The sequence below is a fragment of the Homo sapiens genome, chromosome 15, assembly GCF_000001405.40.
Source record: "Homo sapiens chromosome 15, GRCh38.p14 Primary Assembly".
NCBI lineage: Eukaryota > Metazoa > Chordata > Mammalia > Primates > Hominidae > Homo > Homo sapiens.
Genome location: NC_000015.10, coordinates 47,879,602 through 47,902,925, shown reverse-complemented (window position 1 = coordinate 47,902,925; position 23,324 = coordinate 47,879,602). Strand labels below are relative to the sequence as shown.

General features: G+C 39.6%; 1 long non-coding RNA gene across 3 annotated transcripts in view; it reads right to left on the bottom strand.

The window, feature by feature from the left end:
* LOC124900354 (uncharacterized) overlaps positions 1-18,563 on the bottom strand; it is a 165,186-nt gene extending 146,623 nt beyond the window's left edge. For all 3 annotated transcript variants that reach the window (XR_001751516.3, XR_001751517.2, XR_007064618.1), the window contains exon 1: positions 18,422-18,563. This is a non-coding gene — a long non-coding RNA (uncharacterized LOC124900354). The remainder of the gene's footprint in view (positions 1-18,421) is intronic.
* Between the last annotated feature and the right edge of the window lie 4,761 nt (positions 18,564-23,324).

The window sequence follows — 23,324 nt, the reverse complement described above, 5'->3', positions numbered from 1 at the left end:
GTCTGTAGCCCCTTTGTTTTGGCCAATTTCTCCCATATGGAATGGCTGTATTTACCCAATGTCTGTATCCCATTATATCTAGGAAGTAACTAACTTGCTTTTGATTTTACAGGCTCATAGGTGGAAGAGACTTGCCTTGTCTCAGATGAGACTTTGGACTGTGGACTTTTGAGTTAATGCTGAAATGAGTTAAGACTCTGGGGGACTGTTGGGAAGTCATGATTCGTTTTGAAATGTGAGGACATGAGATTTGGGAGAGGCAATATGATATGGTTTTGCTGTGTCCCCACCCAAATCTCATCTTAAATTGTAGCTCCTATAATTCCCATGTATTATGACATGGAACTAGTGGGAGATAATTGAATCATTGAGATGGTTTCCCCCATACTTTTCTCATGGTAGTGAATAATTCTCATGAGATCTGATGGTTTTATAAGGGGAAACCCCTTTTGCTTTGTTGTCATTCTCTCTTGCCTGCCACCATGTAAGATGTGCCTTTCACCTTCTGCCATGATTGTGAGGCCTCCCCAGTCATGTGGACCTGCGAGTCCATTAAACCTCTTTTTTAAAAATAAATTACCCAGTCTTGGGTATATCTTTATCAGCAATGTGAGAATGGAAAAATACACTGACCTCCCAAAAGGAAATAAAGCTAACAAAAAGAACTGTTATAGCTATATTAATACTAGCAAAATACTATGAGGCATAATGCATTATTAGTAATAAAGAAGATCATAATTTAATGTTAAAAGGGATTATTACCAGTGATAAATATAACAATTACTAATTTGTAATTTCAACTTAGCATCAAAATACACAAAAAAATTGACAGACTTACAAGGAAAAAATAACAAATATATAACCTTATTGATTTCTTTTCAAACCTGCCTGTGCTTTCATTTTGTGCCTAGTGCTTTTCTCAGCGTGCACACATGCACACACACTTACATCTTTAGTAATTTTTAATATTTTCACTGTATACTCTCTTCTACATTCTTGCCCTGTCATTCCAGGTTGTTGTGATGTGGTGGATTATTGCCTTGTGTACTTATTATTTTCATTCTTGGCTCATCTTTAATAGACACTCTATTCCCATGCTCCACCTCATGCCAGGAATCCCTATGGCTTGGCCTGTGAGACCTGAGAGGATCTGCATTTTCTTCTACCAAATACCACAGAGGTATCACCAGCTTCTTGGTGTGGGGAGTTCCTGGAAATGGTAGTGTGCATTTGGACTCCAGATAATACAAGCAACAGGAAGAGTGACCAACTCTACTGCTTTGCCTAGAACTGAGGGAGTTTCCAGGATCCAAGACTTCCAGACTTAAAACTTGGACAGTCCTGGGCAAACCAAGATGATCGACCACCTTAGCACTATCCTGTTTTTTATTTTTTTTCCCTCTGGAAAAAATTGCATTCCTACCCAAATCTCAGGCAGAGACAGACAAGTTTCTATATCACACCCCTTACCACAGTAGCATCTGCAAGTCTAATGTACATCATAACTTTAGAAATAATTTATAGAAATGGTGACTCACAGTGTCTGTTATTTGGCAAATCCATGTGTTCGTCTCAAGTCATTTAGGACTTCTCAAGTCTTCCTTTCCACTGAGGCTACGACCCTTGGAGACACCCAGCTTTAATCCAGAGGCTTGGTTCCCACTGTCCTTACCCTTGGTTTAAAGACTCTATCTCCTATCCTGGCACATAGTATTAAAATGGTCCCCACCTCACCACACTCTGGCCTTCCTGACCCATTCGCTTATGTGTTTCTGATTCTTGTTTTAGTTCTTCCTTTATTTCAGACAGCTTGGGTGTTCCTCTTCTTGCTTGTGAGTTCATTCTGCATTTAAACATTTCATTTTATTACATTTTGAAGCATTTTCTAAGTCTTTGTAGATAGAGAAGTGTCACATTATCTTCATCTACCATCTTTCCCAAACCTGAACTCCTCCCACAACAAGTTTTGACCAGCCTGCCTGGCCCTGCAGCAACACAGCCTATAAAGTCTGTAAAGTACAGCAAGTTCTGAATGATTTGAGTTGATGGAACACATGGGTTTGCCAAATAACAGACACTGTGATTTACGATTTCTATAAATTATTTCTGTAGTTATCCTTTACATTAGAAAATATAATTATTGTTTAATGAAACAGATACAAGAAATTCTTCCTTATGGCCTCAGTAGTTGAGAAAAATCATTGAATTTGGCATAGGATATATAAGGTATGGGATTTGTTTATTACAAACAGTGATATTGATCAGCCCTCCAGCTCCAGGTTTATTTTTTCTTCTATCTCTATAAGAATGGGCTGTGGCTCATTCTGGCTGGGTCAACACATGTGCCCCATCCAGAAATGTTCTAGGTTCAGGAAAAGGTGATCACCTAGAGAAGAAGGTGAATTCCAGTCTTTGGTCCTTAATACTGAAAAAAAGTCTCTGTGCTGGGCAAGGTCCACATGTGCTGGTTTAGAATAACTTGGAGGCTCCCATCCATACAGGGTAATTGGAGTTATTTAGTGGGGAAAAAAGGAACATATTGCTTTTCTAAGAATTTCGAAGAAAATAATTATTGAAAGAAAGACAATCTCGCCAGAATAATGTCTTTGAAACCCCAAAGATTTCGGAGTGAAAAAATAAACCTAGAGAAATAAATATATATGTATTTTTAGTTCTACTCTTGATTATTCTATGTATTCTTATGTACATCTTTAACTTGTGAGCACTGGAACCAGAAAATATTTATAAGTAAGCATTTCTTATTTTTATTTCTACATTTTGCAGAGAGAATTTAATGAAATACTAAGTAAAAAGTATTCAGGAGCCAATTTGGCTACTGAAGCTGGGACCGGAATGTTGGTTACATGCCCAATAGCCATTCACTCTGATTTAATTCAGGTTTCTACCTTCTCCCAACATAGTCTGGTGAAAATCCTGATTCATCTCAGTCAGTCACTGTTGTTCCATTGCCCTAGCAAGTAACTGGGCTTGGGAGCAGGCATGTGACACAGCCAATAAGAAGTAAGGGGGGATCTGGTGGGAGTTTTTTTTAGCAAATAAATCTTCTTTCTTAAAAAGAGACAAGGCCAGGCTTGGTGACTCACATCTGTAATCCCAGCACTTTGGGAGGCCGAGGCAGGTGGATCATGAGGTCAGGAGATCGAGACCATCCTGGCCAACATGGTGAAACCTCGTCTCTACTAAAAATATAAAAATTAGCTGGGCATGGTGGCTTGTGCTTGTAATCCCAGTCTACTCAGGAGGCTAAGGCAGGAGAACTGCTTGAACCAGGGAATTGGAGACTGCAGTGAGCTGAGATCGTGACACTGCACTCCAGCCTGGAAACAGAGTGAAACTCTGTCTCAAAAAAAAAAAAAAGAGAGAGAGAGAGAGAGACACATGATAATAAACATCCCTTTCATTCGACTGGATGCTGTTCTTGCCAAAGATGCTTCTAGTTGTAGATGTCATCTTGCAAGTTTGAGGAGTTTGTCAAGGACAAGGCCAGTATATTGAGGTTGGTATAGTGGCAAAAAGAATGAATAAAGATCCCGACATCCTTGAGGTGTTTTATTGAGCCATCCTAGTGCCACCTGATGCTAGGAGTCTTGTTATATAAGATCACAAATGCCCTTACTGTTTAAGCCAGGTAAGGTAAGATTTTTTTTTTTGCCCTTTACAGCCCAAGTCATCCTAATTGATACAATAGCAATCATTGAGGGTCTTGGCTTAATCACTGCTCAACTGGACCTTGTAAGATTTGAAGGCCAACGGCAGAAAGGGTTTAAGATATCTTCACTCTTCCCAGACAGGCTAGGTAGGGGAAAAAGTGATAAAGAGGAGATGAGAAGGCTGCTGCTATTTCTAGGATTTTATTTGAGGTGCAAAATTCTATTACCCATTTCAACGGAACCTTCTAACTCTGTTGGAGGTACCAAGTTCCCACTGGTTGGTGATCCCATGCTCAAAAAAAAGAAGCTACTGTGGTTTAATTAGTAATAGGGCTCCTGGCTGCATCAAAAGTACAAAATTTCCTGATTTTTTTTCCTTTTCTCTCCAGGTACAAACACAGTCCAAGACACTTGGTGCTGCAGGGAGGAGGGTGGGATGTGGAAAATGTGTTTATTTGGCACCTTTACCCCATGGCAGTATTGGAGTCTAAGAGGTTGAGCTGTTTGCTTTATAATTTTAAAAGGGAGGGAGATTTTTCTACAACTTTTCCTGAGTGAATACAACAAGTCTAAGCAGCTGATAACTGCCAAATAAGGAACCTGATCTTTCTTTCTGTTGTGTTTGCTTGTTTGTTATTTTCTCTTTAAAGCTGGAAACAGTTGGTGGCCGTAGATCTCAGGCTTCCAACTGCGAAGCTGTCATGGACACACTGAGGCTGGTTTTTGGGGGCTGGTCTGAATTCCAATGAATTCCAATGCATCAGGGGAGATGCCTGTTTGAGATTGAAGGGCTTGCTCCAGAATATCTTTTCTGGGAGTACCTTGCTCTGAAAGTGGTTGCCAACATGGAAAAAATACCCCAAGGTCAATAGATACCTACCCTTCCTTCCTACTACTTTCTCCAAGCAATCCAATAACAGCCAGAGAAGGATGTTTGCTAGTTGGATCCTTTATCTCAAGTTTACTGCATTTAGTTTTACAAAGAGACAAAGACATGTCTTGATATGGGGCATGAGGGATGGAGAAGGAATATTCTAGAGCCTAAAAATGTGTTTCAGACTGTGCCCAGGAATTATTTCCAGCGATTCAGGAAACACAATGCTAACCGCCGCTGTTGTTACCTAACTTCCACTGGTCATATCTACAGCTGGGCTTCTGAGTATGAAAGACTCCCTGGATCCCTGGAAAGAGCAAGGGGGACGGGGGGAAGGCTAGTTTCTCACCGGTTATAATTTTCCTCTATCAATAACTGGATGTACTCTGATGGCAAAGAAAGTATAAAATGGGCTTCAGACTCTCTGTTTTCAGTGTTCTTTTGTGTTGGCATTAATCATCTGCCCTGTGCTCTAGTCACGACTAGATGGAGTCCAAAAAAATACTTGGGATTTAGAAATCAAACAAAGAGATAATCACTCCGAAATCAGATTTAAATCTGCAGTGACTGAAGTTGCTTTGTTAGAGAAATAAAGGTGTTAAGAAGCTTTCTTTTCTTCTAAGGCTACTAAACAGTTGTAGCTGGCACAAACAAGTTTGGGACTGTTTGCATTGAGTCATGTCAAACCCCTTTAGCATGTGGAAACAGGCTATATTTACTATTATTTCAAAGCTCTTGCAATTGCTCAGGAAAGGGGGACAAGTCTTTGCTCCAATTTGGAAGAATCAATGCTTTCCTTTTTAATGTGAAAGCTCAAAATAATACAGACCTGCTTTTGGTTGGATCCCAAATGCCATCCCCACATCAGGAAAATGAGAGACAAATATTAATACAACATGGAAGGCCAGTGCAAGCAAAAATTACAAAGCATGTCACATGGTCATTTTACAAAGTGACTTTTTAAAATAAAAAAAAATAAATAAAACCAGAAAAACCCCACGGAGACGTATTAATGCCTCAACCTGGAACAATAAAGCTCTGTTAAAAACACTTGCCATTAGCCACCATCTGCTCTTAGCAATTGGAGGTAATCTTTACGTCCTCTTGACAGCTTTGCCTCATCCCTTGGCCCCTTAATGAAACAAAGACTCCACCATGGACAAAACATTTGGGGGCAAGGATCCCTCAGGTAGTTTTATATCTTTTCAGAGCTTTGAGTTTGATGACCAACATTCAATACTCTGTTCAGGGTTGTCAAGACTGCATATTGAATCGAAGAAAATTTGCCAACTATATTTCCTTCCTCTCTCATAATGCTCTATCACTGTCAGCATTTTCTGCACAAATCAGAGGTAAGGTGGACTCACCATATACATAACAAAACTACTTTCTTACTCCACTCTTTCTTTCTTGTTGTATATCTCAAGAAAGTCTCTTGATTAGAATTCCAGCAGTGTAACTGCATTTTTCTCCCATTCAAACTCTTACTGTTAGACTATTCAGTTAATATAATTTAGAAAATTATAAATATAATTCTCATTCACACCAAAAGTGAACTTGTTTTCTCTTTGTAGTGCTGTGGGTCAAGAAATCTTAAAACACATAAGCAAGACAAATGGCAAAGGCATGTCATCCCCAATTTGGCAAATAACTCAACAGATAGAGGTGCAGAGCAAAGAAAATATGTTATTAATATTCTGAGTGCATTGAGCCCACTGTTTTCCATCCTTCAGATGTAATCTTACTGCCACTGAGGAATATGACTAGAGAAGGGAAATGCCATGTAGGTAGAATGTCTCAATGACATACATTTTTATTCCCTATGGCCTTTATTCCCTACTGGTATTTTCCCTACCTGGCTGTCTATGATGGCTCAGAACCATAAAACACACTTTGATTTTTCTATGATAGCGTTCTCCAGTTTGGGGGCTACATGGACTTATTTGCGATGAAGTTCCTGCTTCATCTGTTGTGAAGATGCTTGTCACAGCAGATGAAGTGGGCCAAGTCCATAGAGGCATTGTCGTGGGAGCAGGTGTTTGCTTCAATTGTCTCCAATCCCAAGGGTAATGCCCTCTGACCCACTCCAATCACGGTTAGTCATTTCCTGCTACTTCACTTTAGGCTTCTGTCTCCCAGTGGTGCACTGGGAGGAAAATAAAATGGGAGGGATGGGGAGAGGAGGAAATAGAGAAAAGATGAAAATTCAGAGTGGGCCTAGGTTAGCCCAGCAGATGTACTTTTATTCATCCATACTTTTGTATTCCCTGTTCTCCTAACCTGTGGACAATATTTCTTACCTTAATCTCAAAGGATCTTACAGTCCTTTGTAAGGCATACTTTCCACTTAAAACAGTAAAAATAGTTAAGACTTCGCTTTGAATCCATCCAGAGAACTCACTCTTTGCTGGGAAGAATTACTCTAGACATACAAGATACAAAACTTCTTTCTTCCCCCATCCCCAACTTCTTACTTCTTCTTTTTTAAATCTTAGACTGGCCATGGACTTCATATAGGCCAAAAATGCCACACTTGGCTGGTCAGCAGGTAGTCTGGGGGACCCTGAGACCAGTAGACCTCATTTGAAAGGGCAACAACCACTGCCCTAGGGATTTATGTTCTCTTGAAAGATTCCTATAATAAGCACTTTGCATATAGATATGTGAGTTGGTGATCAGAACTGTCCTTCTAGTTGTATTATTTATGCTCTTTCAGGCAGCACAAAGGAGAAAAACCCAGACTGCTTTTGATGATGGGAGTTTATTATTATACCCTGTGGTATATGCACCATGCCTCATGGATAATAGGAATGGTAGCTCACCAGTGTTTGAATTATTGCTCAGACTGAAATAATGAGTCATCTCAGTGCAAATCAATAATCATAATCCCCAAAAGAGATGATATGACCAGGTTAGTTTTCACCTTTCAGTATCAAACACTCCACATCATCAGAGATTTGCCTCATGGACACGTGACCATGCTCATGTCTAGATCAGTCATCATTTTCATCATCATCCTCCTCATCATCATCATCCCCAACACTTATCTAGGCCCTGTTCTAAGAATTTTATATACATATACTCAATTTAATTGTATCAACAACCCCTTGGAGTAGATACTATTATACTTATAGATATTACACATAAGGAAACACTATCAACTGTATGGAGTTATTGATATTTTACAGATAAGGAAACAGAGGCACAGAAAGATTAAGTTACTTGCCCAAGGTTGTCTAGCTAATAATTGGAGGAACAACAATGTTGGTTCCAGGCTATTAATTGATAGCACATCCATATATCCACACTGGCCATGGCTTATTGGAGATCCCTGATTTAATCAGGTAGCCTGATTAAGGCGATAGTGCACCAGCTGTGTACTGGAGGCTCCTTGCTGTGCCAGTTAAATCCCTTTAATTTCTGGATGTGGGGAAGTTCTGGGATCCTCAGGGAAGAGCTGAGGCAGCCACTTTCGGGCTGAGGGGAGAGGCTTTTTTTCAGTGTTAAGAAGGAAGTACAGATGGCCCCTGAGTTACGATGATTGACAGGAATTTTTTTTTCAATTTTTAAAATAAACTTTACTTTGGAACAATTTTAGATTTACAGAAAAATCACAAAGATACCCCAGAAAATTTCTGCATACCCTTTACCCACTTTCCCCAAATGCTATCATCTCATATACCACAGTACATTTGTCAAAACCAAGAAATTAACATCAATACATTTCTATTATCTAAACTACAGATTTTACCACTCTTTCTCTACTAGTATCCTTTATCTGTTCCAAGATCTGATCCAAGACACTTCATTGCATTTAGCATGACCATTTTATTTTTATTATTATACTTTAAGTTCTGGGATACATGTGCAGAACGTGTAGGTTTGTTACATAGGTATACACGTGCCATGGTGGTTTGCCGCACCCATCAACCCATCATCTACATTAGGCATTTCTTCTAATGCTATCCCTCCCTAGCCCCCACTCCCCAACAGGCCCTGGTTTGTGATGTTCCCCTCCCTGTGCCCATGCATTCTCATTGTTCAACTCCCACTTATGAGTGAGAACATGCGGTGTTTGGTTTTCTGTTCCTGTGTTAGTTTTCTGAAAATGATGGTTTCTAGCTTCATCCATGTCCCTGCAAAGGACTCATCCTTTTTTATGGCTGCATAGTATTCAGTGTTGTATATGTGCCACATTTTCTTTATCCAGTCTATCATTTGCTTAGGATTGTCTTGGCTATGCAGACTCTTTTTTGGTTCCATATGAAATTTAAAGTAGTTTTTTTCCAATTCTCTGAAGAAAGTCAATTGTATCTCGATGGGGATAGCATTGAATCTATAAATTACTTTGGGCATTATGGCCATTTTCATGATATTGATTCTTCCTATTCATGAGCATGGAATGTTTTTCCATTTGTTTGGGTCCTCTCTTATTTCGTTGAGCAGTGGTTTGTAGTTCTCCTTGAAGGGGTCCTTCACATCCCTTGTAAGTTGCATTCCTAGGTATTTTATTCTCTTTGTAGCAATTGTGAATGGGAGTTCACTCATCATTTGGCTCTCTGTTTGTCTATTATTGGTGTATCTGAATGTTTGTAATTTTTGCACATTGATTTTGTATCCTGAGACTTTGCTAAAGTTGCTTATCAGTTTAAGGAGATTTTGGGCTGAGATGATGGAGTTTTCTAAATATACAATCATGTCATCTGCAAACAGAGACAATTTGACTTCCTTTCTTCCTATTTGAATACCCTTTATTGCTTTCTCTTGACTGATTGCCCCAGCCAGAATTTCCAATACTGTGTTGAATAGGAGTGATGAGAGAGGGCATCCTTGTCTTGTGCCTGTTTTCAAATGGAATGCTTCCAGCTTTTGCCCATTCAGTATGATATTGGCTGTGGGTTTGTCAAAAATAGCTCTTATTATTTTGAGATACTTTCCATTAATACTTAGTTTATTGAGAGTTTTTAGCATGAAGGGGTGTTGAATTTTATCAAAGGGCTTTTCTGCAGCTATTGAGATAATCATGTGGTTTTTGTCATTGGTTCTGTTTATGTGATGGATTACATTTATTGATTTGCATATGTTGAATCAGCCTTGCATCCCAGGGATGAAGCTGACTTGATCGTGGTGGATAAGCTTTTTTATGTGCTGCTGGATTTGGTTTGCCAGTATTTTGTTGAGGATTTTGCATCAATGTTCATCAGGGATATTGGCCTGAGAGCAAAGACACAATATACCAGAATCTCTGGACACAGCTAAAGCAAAAGCAGTGTTTAGAGGGAAATGTATAGCACTAAATGGAGAAAGCAGGAAAGATCTAAATCTATACCCTAACATCACAATTAAAGGAACTAAAGAAGCAAGAGCAGACAAATTCAAAAGCTAGCAGAAGACAAGAAATAACTGGCCTGGCACAGTGGCTCATGCCTGTAATCCCAACACTTTGGGAGACTGAGGCGGGCGGATCACGAGGTCAGGAGATCAAGACCATCCTGGCTAACATGATGAAACCCCATCTCTACTAAAAATACAAAAAAAATTGGCCAGGCGTGGTGGTGGGTGCCTGTAGTCCCAGCTACTCGGGAGGCTGAGGCAGGAGAATGGCGTGAACCCAGGAGGTAGAGGTTGCAGTGAGCTGAGATCGTGCCACTGTGCTCCAGCCTGGGCAACAGAGCGAGACTCCATCTCAAAAAAAAAAAAAAAAAAAAAAAGAAATAACTAAGATCAGAGCAGAACTGAAGGAGATAGAGACATGAAATACCCTTCAAAAAATCAGTGAATCCAGGAGCTGGTTTTTTGAGAAGATTAATAAAATAGGTAGACCACTAGCCATGCTAATAAAGAAGAAAAGAGAGAAGAATCAAATAGACACAATAAAAAATGATAAAGGGGATATCACCACTGATCCCACCGAAATACAAACTACCATCAGAGAATATTATAAACACCTCTACACAAATAAACTAGAAAATCTAGAAGAAATGGAAAAATTCCTGGACACATACACCCTCCCAAGACTAAACCAGGAAGAAGTCAAATTCCTGAATAGACCAATAACAAGTTCTGAAATTGAGGCAGTAATTAATACCCTACCAACCAAAAAAAGTCCAGAACCAGATGGATTCACAGCCGAATTCTACCGGAGGTACAAAGAGGAGCTGGTACCATTCCTTCTGAAACTATTCCAAACAATAGAAAAAGAGGGACGCCTACCTAACTCATTTTATGAGGCCAGCATCATCCTGATACCAAAACCTGGAGGAGATTGACATGAGGTTTTAACTTTAAGATTGTGTGAAAGGGAAACCCATTCAATAAAAACCATACTTTGAATACCCATACAACCATTCTGTTTTTCACTTTCAGTACAGTGTCCAATAAATTCCATGAGGTATTCAACACTTTGTTATAAAACAGGCTTTGTGTTAGATGATTTTGCCCAACTGTAGGTTTATGTAAGTGCTCTAAGCGTGTTTAAGTTAGGCTAGGCTAAGCTATGCTGTTCCATAGGTTAGATGCATTAAATACATTTTCAGCTTATAATATTTTCAACTTCTGATGGGTTTATTGGGAAGTTACCCTATCATAAGTCAAGGTTCATCTGCATGTCAATATTTTAGTAATAGATAATCCCCAATGGTACTTAGCACTGCCCTTTGAATATTTATGCATACTTACATGACTCAAATTCTATTCAGTTTTCCTTAGTCTTTTTTCCTCTAAACAGGAATAAAGGCATCAGTTATATCATCTCTTCTCCAACACAGACACCATCTACCCTTTTAGTAATGTACCATTTGTACTATCAACAATATGGGATATCTTTGGACCCTGTATCTGAAATTAGTTTGAGTGAGATTAGCTCAGGTAGCAATGTTCAAATGTATAATTCATTTCTGAATGAATTATACATTTATTATAGAACTAGTAAGAGAAGGATATGTTTTGAGGGCCAGACAGCATCTCCTTTTGCATTTACAAGTTCCCAGCTACCCAGGCTGTGGGTAGTTCTCTAAACCTATTCTGCAGTGGAGTTCTCTAAACCTATTTCCGATTGAGCGATGCTCCATTCATGAATTGTTGTTTGCTCAAATAAACCCTGTTAAGTTTATTTTGTCTAAAGTTTTTCTTTTGACAGGAATAATTGACTTAATTCACCTAGGTATAAACCAGTAAAAGTCTTTCTGCCCCTGTCCAAAAAACCCTCTGAATGAGCTGTTGTAACTTGGATAAGGTAAATCATCTTCTCCTATTAAGCTTTGTAAGTTTCATTAGTGGGCCATGCAAGGTTCTAATCTGACAAATTTTTTTTTTAAAGCAACTATAACAACCCAGGGCAGTCCAAGCCATCTATTCAGTTGCTTTCCCTTCAGCTATCAGAAAAGATGCCTTAAGGAGATTCTGTGAGGTCATGTGCCAGAAGAGGATTCTGGGTCGATTCCAATGATTTCACAGGCAATTCTTCTGGAGAGTATTTCTAACTCAGAAAAGACAGCTTTAAGGAAGTCAAGAGACAAATCTCATAGACATGCTATCAAAGAGCTGGTTACCCTCAGCTTTTTTTTTTTTTTTTTTTTTACTGAAATAAACAGCCTAAATGGGATACCTTAAAATGGCCTTCAGAGGGCCGAACTCCAAACAGGGTGATTAAAATAGCCTTTTCCTTTTAAAATGACCTGAAGCTTGAGGCATTTAGTTCAGAAAGACTGTTTTTTGTTTCTTTGCTTGTTTGTTTTTCAGTTCTCCATGAATCTATGACAAACAGCAGCCAATTGTCAACAGTTGCCAGGTAGAAAAGAATTGAACTAATCTGACTTGGCAGCTCTTCTCCCATCCCAAACTTGACATTTTTCATGTTATGCTGGAATTATGTGCCCAGAAGGACTTAAATCCTCTTTTCTGATAACCTTATACCTTAACACCAGCTCTAAGTTGTAGAAGAAATAAGGAAATTTTACAGTGCTGAAAACGGCCCCTTTGTGACATAGTATTGCTCAGTTTGGTATCTACTCTGGTTGAGAACATTCTCTGAACCCCAAACATGCCAGAAATTCATAACCGCTCCTCCTCTGGGGGATGGGAATATGGCTTCTCCTGATACTAGAATCCCAGTTACAAGCTGATGGGGAAGATTCACTATAATTACACAGTTCCTGAGCTTCAGTTAAGATTTACTTCCTTGGCTTTGAATGACAAATGTCACTCTAGTTTGACATATTCCATTCTGGGGGTTATTTTCTTTTCTGTTTATTAGAACTCCATGTTTTAAGTAAGGACAACAAAAAGTAATACCCAAGGATAAAGGTAGAATTGATGTCTGAGAAAAACCTAGTCATAACTTCTGAACTTTCCACTACCATTCCAATGCTATTTGAAATAATTTTTATTCTGGGATAAGTGAGGAAACTCTTTGCCATAACCCAGTAAACCTTTAGGGCCTTTCTGCCCCTCTACCCATACCCCCTATCCCCCTTAAAATCACCCAGTAGAAACCCTTCTGGTGGGATTTTTAAAATTATTTTTATTTTTTATGCGTAAGTAGTAGGTATATATATATATTTATGGGGTATATAAGATCTTTTGATACAGGCATGCAGTGTATAATAATCACATCAGGATAAATGGGGTATTCATCACCTCAAGAATTTATCCTTTGTGTTACAAACAACTCAATTATACTCCTTTAGTTATTTTTAAATATACCATTAAATTATTATTGACTATAATCACCCTGTTGTGCTATTAAGTACTGGACTTTATTCATAATTTCTAATTATTTTTTGTACCCAATAACCATCCCCACATCCCCCCCACCAACCTCCCACTACCCTTCCCAGACTCTGGAAACCATCCTTCTACTCTCTATCTCCACAGGTTCAGTTGTTTTAATTTTTAGCTCTGGGGGGTATTTTTACAATAGTGTATAAAGCTTTGTCAAACCTTTGTCTATTTATTTGTGTTAATCCATGAATCTTTAAGAGATTATTCAGATCAAATGGCTCATTCTACCAATGAAGAAACTGAGGACTCCAAGAGAGGAAATGATTTGCCTAAGATCCCAGTAAGAGAGTGGAAGAGCTGGGATACAACATCAACACTGCCAACATGCGTCTAAGTTCATTACCACCACGTGCTTTGTGATACAACTCACTACTTAATAAAAGTCAAGTTATAGCAGCAACTTACAATCTACGGAGTGGGAAAAAGATCTGGTAGATCAATATGTATGCAAGAGAAAGTAAAAGAATCTAGGGAAAAAGAGGGTTCAATTTAACTTTGTCCCCAAAGCTCACGTACATACTTTAAAAACATAATTTATTTTTTTACACCAGGCAGGATTTTACATTCAACATGAGACAGCAGTAGAATGCATTTCCAGTTTAATGTTAACCCAAAATAGGTCATGGTTAGAATTTGATTGGGGAAGGAATTGAAAACATATGTTTGAAGTTAACCCATAAGACACTCATTGCTTAATTCAGATGCCTCATGTCTCAAGTCTGTTCATAATCCAAGACTCTCTAAACCACGGACAAAGCCATCACACATAAAGAACAATATCTAAAGTCTAATTTATCCTTTTACTGCAGTTCAGCAGATGAGTATCCCAAATTTCAAAAAAAAAAAGTAAAACATGATTTTGTTTATCAGAAATCTGGTGTGATAAGAATATTTAATACTTTGACTTTAAATGAAGGTACATCAAGGAAAGTGCATACAAGTGGTTTGATGAATCATCACAAACTGGATGCATTCATGTAAGCAACCCTACATCAAGAAACCATACATTATTAGCACCTTCTCTGGCCCCTCAGTCACTGGACTATCCTCTCCAATCCCCAGAGTAATAACTATTTCCTGCCTTCCAACCACATACACTAGTATCTCCTCTTGTGTACTTCTTATAAATGGAATGATGTAGTATGCCCTTTTTGGGGTCTGACTTCTTTTGCTCATTCTTGTGCTTGTGAGAATCATCCATATTTCTGCATATATTTATAATTGTTCATTCATTGTGCGATTCTATTACTATTTAGCCATTTTATTGTTGTTGGGTGATATGGTTTGGCTGTGCCCCACTCAGATCTCATCTCAAATTGTAATCCAAATTGTAACCTCCACATGTCAAAGGAGGGACCTGGTGGGAGGTGATTGGATCATGGGGGTAGTTTCCCCTATGCTTTTCTCCTGATAGTGGGGGAGTTCTCATGAGATCTGATTTTTTTATAAGTGTCTGGCACTTCCCCCTTCTCTTTCTCTCTTCTGCTGCTTTGTGGAGAAGGTACTTGCTTCTCCTTTGCCATCTGCCATGATTGTTAAGTTTCCTGAGGCCTCCGCAGCCATGCAGAACTGTGAGTCAATTACATTTCTTTCCTTTATAAATTACCCAGTCTCAGGTAGTATCTTTATAGCAGTGTGAAAATGGACTAATACATTGGGTGTTTGAGTAGTTATTCTAAAGATATTTTATAGTGTCAAATTGTTTGCAGAAAACATTAACTCAAAGGGAATAAACTCATATTTTAGAGATCTGGTATAGTCCACCAAGGGAAAATACTAGCTAACATGATGGAATTATTTTCCAAAATTTCCGATCCTGAGGACAGTATTGTATGTTTTGGTGTGGGGCTGTGTGTGTGTGTGTGTGTGTGTGTGTGCACGTGCATGTGTCTATCTCAGCGTCCTCCCAGCCAACAATTTCCATTGAGCCTTTAGTGACTAGAACATGAGGCTGGTAGTGAGGACAGTTAATGCTGCATGCTCCACTCAAGATGAATGGCTGAATTATTGTGACATTAGCAAACAAGTAATTCGTTTCCCATGTCATTGTTCCTCATCTCAAGCTGGTTAGCCAAGCCTTTTCAAAATCCTGACTTGTTCAACCTGATACCAGTTACAGTCCATTTCAAGCTCTTCTGTATAAAATGCAATCTTGTCAAAGGGAAGACACCTGCTCCCAGCAGGAGGGTTGCTCACCAACTGCCAAAGCCTTTGTTACAGTGTCTAGAAACAAAATGATCTTTCCATCTGGAATGTGTCTGCCACCATAACTGCCTGCCTTGAGTTGACTGCCAACCTGTGGTACCAGAACGAGACAGAGAAACATGGGCAGAGAGTGTTGGGAAATGGATTTCTATGAACTCTTGACATTGTGATTTTAAAGCTAATTTTCTCTGAATGAAGAGCATGGGTGACCTCAGCAAAATACACTTACGTCTAGATCTGATTTCTCCTTTCGTGATCCCAGTTCTATCTTATTTACTTCTTATCGCTTATTTTGAATTTTTACGAAACCTCATATACTTAGCAGTGGCAGAGATTCGAGTTACCCCGAGTTACCCGCAGCAAATTCAGTCCTTGCCTCCTCAGAAGAAAGAATTCGACTGATGGGCATAAGACAGAAAAAGAGACAGAGGCAAGTTTCAGAGCAGGAGTGGAAGTTTATTAAAAGGCTTTATAACAGGAAAGAAAGGAAAGAACCCTTGGAAGAGAGCCTAGTGGGCACCTGAAGGTCAAAGAGAGGAAAGAAGTGGCTTTAGCCTTGATTCTGGGATTGTATAGGCTCGCCTTTTCCCCCATGATTCTCTCCTTAGGGCTTTCCACATGCGCGGTGCCCTCTTTACCCCTGGGAATTGAGCACACACAGTGTGTTTAGGGAATTTTACGCATGCCCATCTGAGGCTTCCTTCCTTTTTCTGGTGGAGTGTACCCGGAAGATCATACTTCACCATTTTTATCTCTTAATGTGCACCCCCAGGAAGTTGCTTCTCCCTGGGATCTGCCTTTAATTAACATGTTAACAGGTGTAGACCTTCAGGAAATGGCCTCTCCCTGGCATTGGCTTCCAATTTATCACTTTTAGAGCGGCAATGCAATAATTGCCGAACCATCACCCAACATTTCTAGTGGGTCAGGGGAGAGCTCTCTCCTGCCCCACTCATGGCTAACTACCTATAACAATATTAATTTTCATTTTTTTTCACAGAAAACACACTCCTATTTGGGGTCCCAAAAACCAGTGGGCTGCTGCTTTTCTTCACCTCTCCACCCCACTCCCCACCCCGTGCCACTCTGGGCTACCAGGATCCTCTGACCCCCTCAGTCCTGGAAAGCAACTGCATCACACAGAATGTACACAAAGGGATCCATCCCTTTGCGTTGAGGCTCTGTCACAGGAGGCTCCTTTTTCTAACATCCAATTGCCCAGCATCCCATTAACTATGCAACTCTGCTAAGAACTTACCATGGGTGTCCCTCTGTGGAATTTGCTGTTACTTAACACTGTGAGTCACGTCCATTTCGTGGTTAATAGATGCATGTTCCAATGCCAATTCCCTTCCCCAGATTGGAAATTACCAGTGTGCTCATAATTTCCACTACCTGTCCCTCAGAGTTACAAGGAAGCAGAGGGCTTCTGAAAAGTTAGGCTTTATTTCTGTCTTCACTGGTTTGGGCTCAAAATGTAGCCAGATATAGTTTTTGAGTGGCAGATTTTTAAAATTTGCACAATGGAAAATGTACACCAATATAAAGAAAGTATTTTAATTAAAATTAACAAATATTTTTAAGATACTGTTTTCTACAGAAACTCATTTAAAAGAACTGTAAGATTTCATCTAGGGACATCTGTCTTACGTAATTGCCGTTAATGGGATAAAGGCCACCCACTTTGATGCATGAAGGTAGGATACTGAGAAAGAAAAACTTGAAACTTAACTACCTTAAGACATTCTGTAAATTGTAAAGCATAACACAAATGCAAAGGATTGTTATTTTAATTGACCCCAGGAATTAAATTTTTAAAAATTGTCTAAATACCCTTGGTCTCCAAAATTGGGTATAATCCTAAAAAACAGCTCTTACCGAACCACAATACAAAAATCTCTCCCCTTTGTACTAATCTCTTCCTCTAAATTTATTTCCTTTGCAGGTAAATAACCTCCCATTGGTTTCATCTTTGCATCCTATTTGATTAAAACAACACTAATCACCAGCTATTCTAGCTCACTCTTAACAAACTATTGTGTTGTAACAAGTGTGGTTTCGTTTATTTGCTTTTCCCCCTCTAGGGAGAAAAAAAAGGATGAGAAAAGGTAGATATCAGTTTGAGGTCAGCAAGGAGATTTATACCTAAACTACCAGGGGAATCGACACCATTTAGCCATAAAGCATTTTCCCCTGCAAGCTCAGGAAGTATTTCCAATTATTTACAAACAGATAACATTGTGTAGCTCCCTCAGTATTACAGATAAGTCAACCAAAAACAACTAGTTTGACAAAAATTGCCCAGCATCCCATTACCTATGCAGCTCTGCTAAATACCCATCATGGGTGTCCCCCTGTGGAATTTGCTAAGAAAACATAGTGGAATGAGTTGCCCTCTAGAATTCTGGAAGTCATGGGATCAGCAGCAGGAAATGGCTCATATCATTGATGCACCAACTATATCAATTGAAAGATTAGTTGTTGTTTCTGTGTGTGTGTGTGTTTCTGTGTGTGTGTGAGAGAGAGAGAGACAGAGACAGAGAGAGAGAAGGCAAGAGAAAAGAGAGAGGGAGAGAGCATAAATAGATGGTAAACATGCAGCAAGCGTAAGCAAATGTTCTAGAGCTTCCAACTGAATGAATGTTTTATTACAATCTGTCCAGAGACAGCTCAGCTTAGTGATCACTAGAGAAAGGCCTTTCTTCTGGCTCAGCTTTTGAGAGTGAAAAGTTATTTTCCTCATCTTAAGGTAGATAAATTCCTATTGTACTATGGTACAATCGGGAAGCAATTCAGCCATGCTAAGCCTGAGACTCTAAGACAAAATAAATGACTCTAGTTTAGTGGTGCATATTTAAAATTCTACAAAGCAACAGTTTTGAAAGTTTACCTTTTATTTTCCGCTTTTCTAAAATGCTTCCTCTACAGATGCTGAGAGAGGTCCAGGTCACTTCTGTGTTTGGGGGCTCTTGGTATATTATAAAATACAATTCACATTGAATGGGAGCCCCTGGGCACAAGAGACTCTACACCTGTCACTCTTCTGATAGGTTTACTTCATTTCTACCAGTTCATGGTGCTGAATAAATCTTAGCAGTGGGAAGTGATTGGAAAAATAGGTGGTTCTCACCAGTGGTTCTCACAGTCAAGTGTCACCTGATTCAGAATGATCTGAAATTCCCATTAGAAATTCAGATTTTAGAGGCTCATGTTAGACCATGTGAGGCAGTCTCTTTGGACTGGTTCTCAGGAGTTTGCATTTATTACAATGCTTAGGTGGCTGTTTTGGGCACAGAAATGTTTGAATATTTGAGAACCATTGAGGTAAGGGGTGGGGACTGAGGGCAAGGAGGCTTGATTTCAGATGTTATTAAAGTTGCTGCTAAGAATCACCATTCTGCTTCCATTCTGTGTGAAAAGACCACCTTTCAATGTCTATATTTTTATTGTTTGTTTTTAGAAAGAGGGTTTTACTTCTTCACCCAGGCTGGAGTCCAGTATCAGGATCATAGTTCATTGCAGCCTTGAACTCCTAGGCTCAATTGATCCTCCCCACTTAGTCTCCTCAGTAGCTGAGACTACAGATGTGCACCACTGTGCACAGCTAATTTTTGTATTTTTGTAGGGATAAGGTCTTGCTATGTTGCCTAGGCTGGTATCAGACTTTTGACCTCAAGCAGGTCTCCTGCCTTGACCTCCCAAACTGCTGTGATTATAGTCATGAGCCACTGGTACTGGTCCCAATTTTGTTTTTTTAAACCAAACTGTTTCTGCCATCATGATGAAACACAAGAAGCAGGTACTTTGAACCCAAGGTGCTCCTGCTGTTTCCTTCCTGGTAGGTTCTTGTAGCCACTAGAATGAAGAAATAAGCATTTTTCCTCTGGAAAAGCCTTCTTGCAATATTCTTCAAAAAACCCTGAGAAGGGCCTGCACATAGCTATGCCTGTCAGGAATTGACCCTGTGGGACAGAAGCTACCACAGAGGTGAAGAAGGCAGGATAGCAGGACAAGAACTATGTTATCCCTGAGTTGTCCCACTTAACACTGCCCTCTGCATGACTCAGGGAATTCACAGGCTAACATTCTGTCACAGGAGTGAGATGGAGGCTCCGAGATTCAGGGCCAATGAGAATATGTTGTTCCTGTGAACCTGAACTAGGGTGGGTTCCTCCCCTCCCCCACAACACACTATATTTTACTTGAATATGGAAAGAATATCTTCAATGAGTGCAAAAATGCCTGGCCTCTTCCATGGAAAGGATCTAGACAGTGTCCAAAGACAACAGAACTAGACTAGCCCTGGGACTGTTTACAAGGAGTCCCTGCATGGCATTGAAAATGACACCAGATCGCCATCCAGGCTTGGGAGCGTCTTGGCTAAATTGCACCCTTGAATGAGATGGGGTAAAAGCTGTAGGTAAACTATAAAGCAATGCATGTGTTGGTTGCTACTCTTACCATTAAGAGCAACAAGCAAATTACCAGATGGTGTCATTTGCTAAGTAATCACCTCTTTAATAGAGTGATTCTATCTGCACTGGGGCTGTTAGCATGTCAAAACAAAGCTTTTTGAACCTAGAAAAGTTGTGCCTTGTGCTGGCATTTGTTTTGATTCTGAAGGTTACACTACATACTGTAACAGAAGATTTGGTGTACTGCTGAGAAATTATTTATTCCTCTGATTCCCTTCCTCTCCACTGAAATTCTTCAAAGCCCAGTACAAGTGTCACCTTCATAAAGTCTTGTGATGGCCCTCTCTCCAGCCAAAATTAACTGCTCATTCCATTTTAAAGGTTTTACAAGCACTTGCTATCTGCAAATGGCTATACAGGCTCATGGAGAAGTAGAGATGCCTCTCTGCTTGGTAATGACCTCCGGAGATCTGGGCCATGACATCTCTACTTCTCCATGAGCCTGTATAGGCATTTGCAGTTAGCAAGTGCTTGTAAAACATCCACTAAATTTAAGTTTGTAGTTCTACAACAGAAGTCACAAATTGGCAGGCCATAGGCTAGAAATACCTTTCAAATGTTGACATGATATTATGTCTATTAGCAGATTTCACATAGAACTCTGGATATCTGGCATCTCCCATGAATATAATCAGCTCAAACAGAGTAGCAGCTGCCCCAACTGGAGGGGCCACACTACCTCTAATTTTCCACAGTTGCTTGCTTTTTAATCATTTGTTTTACTTGCCAGCCACTGTGGGCACCCTTCTCACAAAGACACCTCTTTTTTTTTTTTACCTTCTTATATGTTAGCCAGGATTAAATGCCTCCATGTGTGGATGGATATCTGTGCTTATGAGGGAGGCAACTCAGAGCCAAAACTATATGTTTGCCTGGATCAATTATTTATAGGCCAAGTGCCAAGTAATCAATTAGTTTGCTGTGCTCTATGACTTAATTTTGTTTTTAAGATGACAAAATGTGATCTGATCATATTTTGGTTAATTGTTTAAGGCAGCAGTCCCCAGCCTTTTGGGGACCAGGGACTGGTTTTGTGGAAGATAATTTTTCCCTGGAAGTGGGGGTGGGGGGTGGCTTCAGGATAAAATTGTTCCACCTCAGATCATCAGGCATTAGGTTCTCATAAGGAGCATTCAACCTAGGTCCCTTGCATGTGCAGTTCACAATAGGGTTCATGTTCCTATGAGAATCTAATGCCACCGCTGATCGGATAGGAGGTGGAGCTCAGCCAGTAAGGCTTGCTTGCCTGCTGCTCACCTCCTGGTGTGCGGCCTCGTTCCTAACAGGCCACAGACTAATACCCATCCTTGGCCCAGGGGTTAGGGGCCCCTCGTTTAAGGCTTATTGGCTTTTGTGGAATACTAATCGAGCTTCAACAAGAAGTCAGTACAGATACAATTAATATCATCATTCACACCTAGTTCTCACCAGTCTAAGTTTTCACTAGCTTTTGACACTTTTACAGAGTCTCCTTCCTTAATTATTCCTAGGAATCCCCACAAGGGTTTACAAGTTGACAAGGTTTTCTCTACCTGAGGTTTCTGTTTCCCTACTTCCTGTCCCTTTCCTCCACCTGTCCCAGGCTGGTTTCTGACCCCTTTGGCTTAGAGAGCAGTTCTGATAATGGCCTCCAGGTCACCAAGTACAATGGATATTTTTTCAATGCCCTTTGTATTTCATCTATTGGCAATCCTTCCACTGTCGTCCATACTCCTTTTTCTTGAAGCTCTCTTATTCTTTGGTCCTTGTGATAGCACACCCTTCTTATATTCCTTCTAGCTATTCAGTTTCTTTGTCTAAAGCCTTTTCTTGAATATTTCACTCTGCTGACCATTAATATTTGAGTTCTTCAAGATTGAACCTTAGCCCTCTTTTCTTTTAATTCTCTATATTCTTCCTAAGAAACTTATTCATGTCCTCTACTTTAATTACTAGTCATGTGCCAGTCATATCAAAATATGTATCTATAGTCCGTATCTTGTCTTTGGGTTCTAAACCATTAATTACTAGTCATGTGCCAGTCATATCAAAATACATATCTATAGCCCATATCTTGTCTTTCGGTTCTAAACCATACAGGCCATTACCTACATGGCATCTTCTCTTGGATGCCTCATGAACATCTCAAGTTTAACTTATCCCAGAACAAATTCATACTCCCTCCAAAATTAGTCCTCTTTCAGGGTTCTGTAGCCCATTAAATATCACAGCCATCTAGTTATGCAAGTGAGAAAGCTGGGAATGATCTGCCTCACCTACCTTCCTACCATATGATGTCCCTCACCAAACCTGTATATTCTGTCTCCCAGATATCTTGAGCCTGCCCCATGAGTCTCCATCTTTGTCATCCTCTCCTAGTCCTGGAGAGCACAGTAGACTTCTCCACATTTTTAAATGCTGTATACTCCCTTCCTACTATAAGGCCTTTGCTCACATAATTTCTTTCTTCTGCTCACATACCTCTATCCTCAAACTGTACCTCTTCAACCAATTATTCCTATATCTTCTTTAGCTGTTAATTAAACATCATTTATCCAGAAAGTCTTTCTTGACCCTCTGTAATTCACTCGGTAATGGCGCTAATTATAGTTTTTAATTATAAACTCATTTTTGTGACTGATTAATATCTCTTTCCCACAGTGTGTTTTTGCTCATAATGCCCCTAGGAGTCTCTTGAGCTCTTATGTAATCAGGGGGTACATATATATTAGGATAAAAGGTATTCCTTACTAATTCTATTGATCAGAAATATCTGAGTCCTAGGTCTAGCCTAGCCAAACACACTGTGATCCCTCACAGAGCTACTTTCCATTTCAAAGTAATATCACATCTACAGAAACAAATCTAATAGAATTTAGATCTATTAGATCAAATCTACAGAAATCATCTACAGAACAAAGCTAATAGAAATGCCTTATTGAAAACAAGAATGGATTCTTATATGTGTGACTCCATACACCTCTACCCAAACCCTAAATTTAAAATTCTTTTGTAGCTTCAAAAGGGAAAGTGTCGGTTGGATGGCTAATGGCAGAGTATGTAAAGTTGTTTCAGTAAAACCATTAAAGGAAACCTGGGAACAATATTTTGATTGATTTAGCACAATAAACAAATTGCACTGATATGCTTCTGAATTGCTACTATCATGATCTTTAGCAGTTGCATAGTGTAAATCATTAGTCAATCAAGCACTCAATCTACCATGTGAACACTAACAAAAATAGGCTAGATATGATAATTAGGTGAAAGTCTGATCATTCATGAAAACGAAAACAGGACTTCTCTCAACTGTGTGGTTGTATATGGCCATCTTGGTCC